General features: G+C 51.8%; 2 protein-coding genes across 5 annotated transcripts in view; one reads left to right on the top strand and one right to left on the bottom strand.

The window, feature by feature from the left end:
- The window catches only part of ITFG2 (integrin alpha FG-GAP repeat containing 2), a 47,124-nt gene that overhangs the window by 2,112 nt on the left and 34,724 nt on the right, over positions 1 to 10,288 (bottom strand). The window lies entirely within an intron of this gene.
- Positions 641 to 9,957, top strand: TEX52 (testis expressed 52). Of its 4 annotated transcripts, XM_047428053.1 has the most exons (4): positions 641 to 725; positions 2,234 to 2,784; positions 8,155 to 8,677; positions 9,012 to 9,957. In XM_047428053.1, exons 1-3 carry the CDS (start codon positions 654 to 656, stop codon positions 8,447 to 8,449), a joined length of 918 nt encoding a protein of 305 aa, XP_047284009.1. In that variant the 5' UTR covers positions 641 to 653; the 3' UTR covers positions 8,450 to 8,677; positions 9,012 to 9,957. The 4 variants fall into 4 exon arrangements, 3 of the variants coding, with proteins under 3 accessions (XP_047284009.1, NP_001352103.1, NP_001352104.1); NM_001365174.2 differs by lacking the exon at positions 9,012 to 9,957 and having other exon boundaries at positions 8,155 to 8,634; NM_001365175.2 differs by lacking the exon at positions 9,012 to 9,957 and having other exon boundaries at positions 2,234 to 2,831; positions 8,155 to 8,634.

The raw sequence follows: 10,288 nt of genomic DNA, 5'->3' as shown, positions 1-10,288 counted from the left end.
TGGGCTCTGTGGTTTATTGGCGTCTGATTCCTAAGGCACCAGGAGAGGCTGGAAAAGAAAGAGGGTGTTGATGGAGACGATGGTGATAGGGAAGAGGCAAGGCCTGAAGTTCACCCAAAGCAGCAGTTGGAGCACTTGCACAGGCACACACTTGACAACACAAATTGCCAGTTTTCCCAGTGCTAGTCCTGCACAGCTCACCTCTTTTCCCTGGCGTCTCTGACCTTGTTCCTTGGGACCTTTGGACCTGCTGGTTAACTTAGGCCTTTTGAGGGTTCTTAATAAGACAAGCTCACGAGGGGTAGGGCCCCCTGAACATTAGGGCAGGAAGGGCCCAGTTACAGGTGCTTCATTCCCACTGCCATCCCCACCCTGAGGCCTGGGAGCCAGCCTGCCCTGCTTTTCTTCTGCCCGGCAGCAGCTCCTGTTACAGTTTTTTGCAGTCAGAACTTGAAGAAAGTGCTATCCCCTGCCTGTCTAACCTGAAAAGTAGCCAGGGGCCCAAGGGTCACAAGAGGCTCCAGGGACAGGTGAGGGCCTCTTCTCTGCATCACCACTCAAGCAGCATCACCATAGCAACCCCAGGAGTAAACAATGGTGCCAGAAAGGGCTTCCCCACAAAGCCGCCCCTCCTGGCTCTGAGGCCCAGAAGAATGGCCAGTAACCGGCAAAGATCACTCAGAGGGCCCAGTCACCCATCTCATATGGAAGAACCTTTCCTGCAGGTAGGGGGTGGCCCATCTCTGCCGCCTACCTTTTTGTACCCCACTGGGCTACAGGCTGTCCCTTATAGTGGGCCAGGCTTTCTTCTGGGCAGCAGACTGCCTGGCCCATACATTTTCTGCTGTCTTCCCCTTTTCATCCTATGACACTAGGAACCCAGAGCTCAGAACAGAGAGGAGATGCCTGGCTAGTGCCACATCTCCCAGCCCCACCCACTGGGGTGATCCTGTAGAAATGACTTAGGGGCCCAAGCTCAAGAAACAGGTGGGTTTTTGCAATCAGAAAAGTCCTGGGGGCCAGGCACAGTGGCTCACGCCTGCAATCCCAGCACTTCGGGAGGTCGAGGGGAACGGTTCACCTGAGGTTAGGAGTTTGAGACCAGCTTGGCCAACATGATGAAACCGTCTCTACTAAAAATACCAAATTAGCCAGGCATGGTGGCACGCGCCTGTAATCCCAGCTACTCAGGAGGCTGAGGCAGGAGAATCACTTGAACCCGGGAGGTGGAGGTTGCAGTGAGCCGAGATTGCACCATTGCACCTCCAGCCTGGGTAACAAGAGTGAAACTCCATCTAAAAAAAGAAAACATCCCTGGGGATGGATAGGAGGGCGAAGCATTTTAAAAGAGGCACATTTTTGTTGCAGTCAGGCACTGTGCTAAGTAAGGCCATTTCATTTCACCCAGCATGGTATGCCAAGCAAGAGCACAGACAGAGGGCTTAAGTCCCAGCTGTCACTCAGGCACCAGCACCCTGTGTGAGTCACCTACCCTTACTGTGTGTTGCTTTCTGCATCTTTGAGATGGGGACGATAGCAATACTTGCTCATAGAGTTGTGGGGGTTCAATAAGATCCATGTAAGTATTTAGCACAGCATCAATATGTACTTGCTGCTGTTTATTTAATGGGGGGCAGGGTGCAGAAAGGGGAAGGAGCTGCCATTCTAGATGCTTTCTATACTAGCGTTTTAATGAGGAGTGGGAGGAAAGCGTCAGTGACGGACAAATGAGTATTGAGAGGAGTCTGGGATGGGAAAACCCCTGGCCCTATTTTCTGGAGGACTTTCCTGGTATACCGCCAAGACCAGGAGCAAGTGAAGGTGGGCTGCCCCCCTTGGCATGGTAGGGAGCATTTCCCTTCATGATTTCCTGAGGCCTGATGTGCCCTCTAAGGAGCACCAGTTCCTGGGTGGGAATGTGGGGATGCCAGAACGGAGGAGGGAGGTGAAGGTAAAGAGTGAAAGCTGAGTACAGAGGGTGGGAAGTCAAAGCCAAAATATGGTCAATGGCAAGAGATCAAAAGATGAGTGACTGTGAAGATGATACGCAGCAGCCATAACTTCCGCCGGGAAGGAGAGGGATGGAGATGCGGCCCTGCCAGGACTTCTGCGTCCTCATGAGAATCCTGGGCTGGCAGAGGTCGTGCCTGGGAAGGAGAGCGGAGTGCCTCACCCACCTTTCTGCACCCCTGTCTGCACAACCTTCCCCAGGCTCCCTTTTGTCTCTCCCTAGATGGTCCAGGCCAGCGAGTCCCTCCCACCCTCCCAAACGTGGGCTCAGCGTGAGTTCTTCCTCCCCAGCGAGTCCTGGGAGTTCCCTGGCTTCACCCGGCAAGCCTACCACCAGCTGGCTCTGAAGCTGCCGCCCTGCACAGATATGAAGTCCAAGGTGCGTCAGCGGCTCATCCACCCTTGGAAGGGTGGCGCCCAGCACACCTGGGGCTTTCACACGTGGCTCGATGTGTGCCGTCTGCCTGCCACCTTCCCCACCCAGCCTGACAGGCCCTACGATAGCAATGTCTGGCGCTGGCTGACCGACTCCAATGCCCACAGATGCCCCCCCACGGAGCACCCCATCCCCCCTCCCTCCTGGATGGGGCAAAACAGCTTCCTGACCTTCATCCACTGTTATCCCACGTTTGTGGACATGAAAAGGAAGAAGCAGGTGATTTTCAGGACAGTGAAGGAGTTGAAGGAGGTGGAGAAGCTCAAGTTGAGGAGTGAGGCAAGAGCACCCCCACTCGATGCCCAGGGCAACATCCAGCCGCCAGCGAGCTTCAAGAAGTAAGACGGTGCCTCCTCAGGGAGCCCACCCAGCCTGCCCTGCCCAGGTGACCCCTCCCTCTCTCAGGTTCCTGTTTCTAACCGGGACTCTGTCCTTCCCCGCTCTGGCCATCTGAAAACCAAACTCTTTTCTGAGTGTAGCTGGAAGGACGAGGTGGAGACAAGGGAGGAACAGCGAGTGGAGGCAGGGAGTTTCACTAAAATCTGGGGGACAGCTATGCAGGTGACACCTGGTAGGCACTGGGGACACAGAGAAGTGTGACTCAGTGCCTGCCCTCAAGGAGCTTTGCAAAGATAGCTATCAAAAAAAGGCTACACATGCAAAGGGCCCAGAGTGCGAGACAGGGGGTGTTGTAAGGAAGTCAGTTATTAATGTAAAGAACTGGAGTGAAAGCTGTAGCCCGAAGGCCTGGAGTACAGTTCCAACCCCATCACCATGGTGAGGTGCCCAGCTTCTCCAGCCTCAGCTCCCTCACCGATGAAGGGGGGAGCCTCAGGTACCGACCTCACTGTGGGAGGATAAATTGAGCTAGTGAATATGTGGAAGAACTGAACAAAAGTTAGATGTTATGGCAGGGCGTGGTGGCTCACGCCTGTAATCCCAGAACTTTAGGAGGCCGAGGCGGCCGGATCACCTGAGGTAGGGAGTTCCAGACCAGCCTGACCAACATGGAGAAAGCCCATCTCTACTAAAAATACAAAATTAGCCGGGTGTGGTGATGGGTGCCTGCAATCCCAGCTACTCAGGAGACTGAGGCAGGAGAATCACTTGAACCTGGGAGGCGGAGGTTGCAGTGAGCCAAGATGGTGCCATTGCACTCCAGCCGGGGCAACAAGAGAGAAACTCCATCTCTAAATAAATAAATTAATTAAATAAAAGTTAGATGTCGTTACAGAAATTCAGGAGAGAAGGGGTGCAGCGACCTGGAGTGTCCCCGCCACAGGAAGGCCTCATGGGGAAGTCAGGGTTCAGGCTGGAAGGGTGGAAAGCCAGCAGACAGCTAAAAGCAGTGGCTGAGCCCCTCCAGGCAGGGCTGAGAAGTCGGGAGCGGAGCCAGGAACGTTGAGAGGAGCCGCTGTGAACCCCGCAGCTCCCCCTCCCGGCCACCCTGGGAACTCACGGATGCTTCCCAACTGTGTCCAGCCCAGGCACTACGCATGCAAGAGTAACAAGAAAGGGGGAAGGCAATGAAAAGGAATGTCTCAAATTCCAATCCCAAGGGCAGGACCAAAGCACTGGGGAGTTGGAGTGGCTGTGAAGATTTTTAATCTGAAAAAAAAACAAAAACAAAAACAAAAACAACAACAACAACAAAAAAAACAGGCCGGGCCTGGTGGCTCACGCCTGTAATCCCAGCACTTTGGGAGGCCAAGGCAGGCAGATCGCCTGAGGTCAGGAGTTCGAGACCAGCCTGGCCAACATGGTGAAACCCCGTCTCTACTAAAAATACAAAAATTAGCTGGGCGTGGTGGCAGGCGCCTGTAATCCCAGCTACTCAGGAGGCTGAGGCAGGGGAATCACTTGAACCCGGGAGGTGGAGGTTGCAGTGAGCCAACACGCCACTGCACTCCAGCCTGGGTGACAAGAGCGAGACTTTGTTTAAAAAAAAAAACAAAAAACCAAAGGTTGGTGACTTTGAGAGATCAGTCTCCTTTGTGGGGACCCAGGCTTCTCCCTGCTTCCCTGCTACCCTTGCCCTGAAGATTGCCAGTTGCTGATAGGTGCTGACCCTGGCAAAGGGGAGAAAGACTTAGAGTACTCCAGAGAGACTCACAGTGGCATGACAGTGCCAGGTGGTGTTCTGCCAAACACTTCTCTGTATTATTTAATCCCCCAGGACCTTCTGAGTAGAAACTATCATTAACCCCGTTTTTTTTTGTTGTTTCTTTTTTTTTGAGGCAGAGTCTTCCTCTGTTGCCCATGCTAGAGTGCAGTGGTGTGATCTTGGCTCACTGCAACCTCCGCCTCCTGGGTTCAAACCATTCTCCCTGCCTCAGCCTCCTGAGTAGCTGGGATTACAGGCTCCCGTCACCATGCCTGGCTAATTTTTGTACTTTTTAGTAGAGACGGGGTTTCTCCATGTTGGCCAGGCTAGTCTTGAACTCCCGACCTCAGGCCCAACTCGGCCTCCCAAAGTGCTGGGATTACAGGCGTGAGCCACCGTGCCCGGCCTCATTAACCCCATTTTACAGGTGGGCTATCTGAGCTGGACAGGTCAAGTATCTTGCCTAGCCGAGTATGATGGTTCATGCCTGTAATCCCAACACTTTGGGAGGCCGAAGTGGGAGGATCGCTTGAGGCCAGTTCAAGACCAGCCTGGGGCACCATATGAGACCCCGTCTCCACAAAAATATCAAAAAATTAGCCAGGCATGGTGGCACATGCCCATAATCCCAGCTACATGGGAGGCTGAAGTGGGAGGACTGTCTGAGCCCAGGAGGTCGAGGCTGCAGTTAGCCATCACTGTGCCACTGCACTCCAGGCTGGGCAACGTGGTGAGACCCTAGCTCAAAAGAAAAAAAAAACAGTTCCCACAGCAGGTGGTTAAGGTGGTTAGAGGGTCAAATGGCACAGGGCCTAGCATACATACAGAAGGGGCTCAATAGATTGTATCATTATTAGTATGGTATCTCCATGACAGTAGGATCCTTGTCTCACATGTTTACTGCTGTAGGCCCAGGCCCTGGAACCAGGAATGAAGGAATGTGTCTCAGACAAGGAATTAGGTCCCCAGAGAAGGCAGGACACATAACAGGAAGTCATGTGCCACAAAACCTTTTGGTCAGTGACAGACCACATATACCACAGCGGTCCCATAAGATTATAATGGAGCTAAAAAAAAAACTCCTGCCTGATGATGTTGAAGTTGTCTTAACATTTTAGCACAATTACCTCATTTTAAAAATAAATTTAGTGGACCGGGAATGGTGGCTCACGCCTGTAATCCCAGCACTTTGGAAGGTTGAGGCGGGCAGATCACTTGAGGTAAGGAGTTCAAGACCAGCCTGGCCAACATGGTGAAACCCTCTCTCTACTACAAATACAAAAATTAGTCAGGCGTGGTGGCACATGCCTGTAATCCCAGCTACTGGGGAGGCTGAGGCAGGAGAATCACTTGAACCCGGGAGGTGGAAGTTGTAGTGAGCTGAGATCACGCCACTGCATTCCAGCCTGGGTGACAGATCAAGACTACATCTTGGGAAAAAATTAAAATAAAAAAAATAAATAAAATTAAAATAAAACAAATTTAGCGGCCGGGCGTGGTGGCTCACGCCTGTAATCCCAACACTCTGGGAGGCCAAGGCAGGTGGGTCACCTGAGGTCAGGAGTTCAAGGCCAGCCTGGCCACCATGGCGAAACCCTGTCTCCACTAAAAATACAAAAACTAGCCGGGCATGGTGGCGGGGCCCTGTAATCCCAGCTACTCGGGAGGCTGAGGCAGGAGAATCGCTTGAATGCAGGAGGTGGAGGTTGCAGTGAGCCAAGATCATGGCCACTGTGCTCGAGCATCAGGGACAGAGTCAGACTCCATCTCAAAATAAATAAATAAATTTAGTGTCACCAAATCATGTAGTGTTTATGAAGTCCACAGTAGTGTACAGTAATGTCCTAGGCCTTCACATTCACTCACTCACTCTCCACTCACTCACTCACCCAGAGCAACTTCCAGTCTTGCAAACTCCATCACAGTAAGTGCCCTATACATCTTTAAATCTTTAATTTTTTTTTTTCAGATGGAGTTTCGCTCTTGTCGCCCAGGCTGGAGTGCAATGGTATGATCTCGGCACTGCTCACTGCCTCCTGGGTTCAAGCGATTCTCCTGGCTCAGCCTCCCAAGTAGCTGGGATTACAGGCACGTGCCACCATGCCTGGCTAAGCGAGACTCTGTCTCAAAAAAAAAAAAAAAAAAAAAAAAGACTCTGGGCCTGGTGTGTTGGCTCATGCTTGTAATCTCAGCACTTTGGGAGGCCAAGGCGGGCGAATCACTTGAGGTCAAGAGTTCGAGACCAGCCTGGCCAACATGGGGAAACCCCATCTCTACTAAAAATATAAAAAATTAGCCAGGAGTGGTGGTGCACCTGTAATCCCAGCTACTTGGGAGGCTGAGGCAGGAGAATCACTTGAGCCTGGGAGATGGAGGTTGCAGTGAGCCAAGATCGTGCCACTGCACTCCGGCCTGGGCAACAGAGTGAGACTCTGTCTCAACAAAACAAAACAAAACAAAACAAAACAAAACAAAAACAAAGACTCTGGATCAGTCAGTGAGCACACTGAAGCACTGAAGCTGTAGGGACCCAGAGGACTTCAGACATAGAATGAGATGTAAGCATGATCTTGTTGAGGAAATACAACATTTACATGTAAACCTGGCAGCCCATTATCATGACCTGGGGCCCCATTTTTTTTTTTTTTTTTTTTGAGACAGAGTCTTGCTCTTGCCCAGGCTGGAGTGCAGTGGCATGATCTGGGCTCACTGCTTGCAACCTCCTCCTCCCGGGTTCAAGTGATTCTCCTGCCTCAGCCTCCCGAGTAGCTGGGACTACAGGTGCCTGCCACCATGTCTGGCTAATTTTTGTATTTTTAGTAGAGACGGAGTTTCATCATGTCGGCCAGGCTGGTCTCGAACTCTTGACCTTGTGATCCACCCGCCTCGGCCTCCCAAAGTGCTGGGATTACAGGTGTGAGCCACTGGGTCCGGCCTAGGGGCTCTTTTTTCAAATGCTGAGGTTTGAGCCTCCCTCTGGAGATTCTAACTAACTGACCTTGAGGGCAGTGTGGGTGGGTTGTGTTTAAAAGCTCCCAGGGTGATTGTAATGTGCAGCCAGGCTGAGAGCCCCTGCATAAACCAACAACAGCAAACAGGGGACTATCTGCCGAACCAGGGGCAAAGTGCGCTGAGTCATAGAAAACTGGCCACTATTCAGCTGTGTTAAAAGAAACAAAAGTCTGTTTCCTACTGTTCGACCCAATACCGCAGGCTTACTGAGAAGAGGCAGTTATCCAGTTGAGCTGAGTTCTGTGATTTTCCCACTGTCACTGCATTAGTGGAAAAGGTGAGACTTGAAGGACAGTTAGAATCTGGATTGGGATCTGGATCATAATATTATATGCAGTATGTCAAAAGGATGGAAGGCTTACTAGCTGCACGACATTATTTCACCAGCCTAACACCAACACACACACATAAGGTGCAGGCCATTTGGCACAGGTCAATATCCGATTAGGTGGAGAGACAGAAGGGATTCCCTGCCGCCTGATGGCTAACTAGCTTGTGGACAGCGGCATCACCCTTCCCCTTCCCCGTCTCTCCACTGTCCCTGGATCTCTTCTTTGATCTCTCTGTTCTCTCCATACCCTTCTCCCAACAGGTACCGGCACATATCCGCTGGTGGGAGGTTTGAACCCCAGGGCCTCCAGCTCATGCCCAACCCGTTTCCCAATAATTTCGCCAGGAGCTGGCCCTGCCCAAACCCTCTGCCTCACTACCAGGAGAAGGTGCTAAAGCTGGCCTTGCTGCCCAGCGCGCCCCTGAGCCAGGACCTCATAAGGGATTTCCAAACCCTGATAAAGGACAGAACTGCCTTACCCCTCCACCATCTCTCCAAGGCACAAGCAAGCAAATCCCCAGCAAGGAAGAGGAAGAGAAGACCTGGACACTTCTAGAAGGGCTTCCAGAGGGGACGATCGTGATACCCAGAGCCCCAGGCTCCAGTGTTCTCAATCAATGCTCCTTCAGCAAGAGGCCCTGGGGTAGCAAAAGGACTCTGGCTTCTGCAGAACAGCCTCTCCACCATCCTCCCAGCCTCAAGCCACCTCTGTACCCCAGGCTATTGGAGATTCAACTGAAATTCTAAATTGTTATATTTCTTCCTTGGAGGACTCTCATCGAAGGTGGGAGGACTGCGGCCAGGAGGCTGGGTAGAGCAGGGAGAACAGGGAGGGGCTCCAGTTCCTAAGGAGAGGAGAAGTGGGAAGGAAGGAGTGTGTGTGTGTGTGTGTGTGTGTGTGTGTGTGTGCGTGTGTGTGTCTGTTGGGGTGGGGGAAGAGGCACTGTAAGAAACATGGATAAGAAGAAGCTATCTCCACTCTCATAACCCATTGGGAATGAGGCTGGGATTGGTCAGGGTATAGAAAGCCTCTTAGGCAAAAATAACCAAAATGCCACCCCCTCCCTGGACCATTTGATGTCTGGACAAAGACCAGACACAGCTGTGCTTGGTTGCAGGGCCCCATGCAGGGTTTGGAGGAGGAGAGGTCAGGTCAGGGCTGGTGCTGGAGAATGGGAGAGTCAGGCCCCAGGAAGGCTAACCAGGTCTCAGCAGAGGAACAAGAGTAGAACAAAGTAGAACTTCAAGGTAAAAGAGCGGCCTCTCCACACCCTGTTGGGGATACCTGTGGGGGAAGGGTGTGGAGGACTTATGCCAAAAGAGCAGTCAGCCCAGAGGCCTTGGGCCTCAGCTTTTTCTATCAGGGAGTCAAAGACCAGGGGTAAAGTAGAGGCAGGCAAAGCAACAGTCAGAATGGTGTTGGCCCTGGCTGGGGTGGAGATGGTTGGGGAGGGTGATGGGAAGGTGGCTGGAGGGGAAGAAGCTGAAATGGTGGGGGCCCTACCTCACCTCCTCCCACCCCCATCACATTCCCACATTGATGGTCACACCTGCTGGGCTTCTCTTGGCCTCCTGCCCACGGCCTTCTTTGTCTCCATTTCTCTCAAGCCCTGCAGGCACCTGGGAATCAAGACATCACAGGGCTCTAGAGCTGCTTTAACCACTAAGCAGCAATGTGACCTTTGGAAAAGTCACTATTCCCTCTGGCTTTCAGGTTCCTCACCTGCACAATGGGGACCATTAGTTTATAAATAAATGGAATAAATACAAGAATATAGGTGAAGGACCTGCAAAGTGTGTAGCACACTGGTGGCCCTCCAGAAATGAAGCTGTCAATCAGTGTTCATAGAATAAAAATAATAAGTAGATAGAATATTATGTAGCCATAAAAAGAAATTGAGTATTGATAGATGCTACAGTGTGGATGAAACTTGAAAACATCATGCTGAGTGAAAGAAGCCAGACACAAAAGGCCACACACATATTGTATGATTTCACCTACGTGAGGTACCTAGAATAGGCAAACGTATAGAGACAGAAAGTTGAATAGAAGATATCAGGGGCTTGGAGGAAGGGCATGGGGAGTCAGTGATTTTTTTGGGGGGCTTTTTTTTTTTTTTTTTGGACAGTCTTACTCTGTCACCCAGGTTGGAGTGCAGTGGCGTGATCTTGGCTCACTGCAATCTCCACTTCTTGGGTTCAAGCAATTCTCCTGCCTCAGCCTCCCGAGTAGCTGGGACTACAGGCGTGCGCCACGATGCCCGGCTAATTTTTTGTATTTTTAGTAGAGACGGGGTTTCACCGTGTTGGCCAGGATGGGCTCGATCTCCTGACCTTGTGATCCGCCCACCTCGGCCTCCCAAAGTGCTGGAATTACTGGGATTACAGGCGTGAG

The sequence above is a fragment of the Homo sapiens genome, chromosome 12 (assembly GCF_000001405.40).
Source record: "Homo sapiens chromosome 12, GRCh38.p14 Primary Assembly".
Classification (NCBI taxonomy): domain Eukaryota; kingdom Metazoa; phylum Chordata; class Mammalia; order Primates; family Hominidae; genus Homo; species Homo sapiens.
Note: the sequence above shows the minus strand (reverse complement) of the source record. Positions and strands in the feature narration are given on the sequence as shown.

Excerpts from the sequence above, each read along its gene's own strand:
- TEX52 (XM_047428053.1), top strand. The coding sequence starts at position 654 with ATGGCCAGTAACCGGCAAAGATCACTCAGAGGGCCCAGTCACCCATCT. Across the intron at positions 726-2,233 it reads TGGAAGAACCTTTCCTGCAG|ATGGTCCAGGCCAGCGAGTC; the intron begins GTAGGGGGTGGC and ends GTCTCTCCCTAG. Across the intron at positions 2,785-8,154 it reads CCGCCAGCGAGCTTCAAGAA|GTACCGGCACATATCCGCTG; the intron begins GTAAGACGGTGC and ends TTCTCCCAACAG.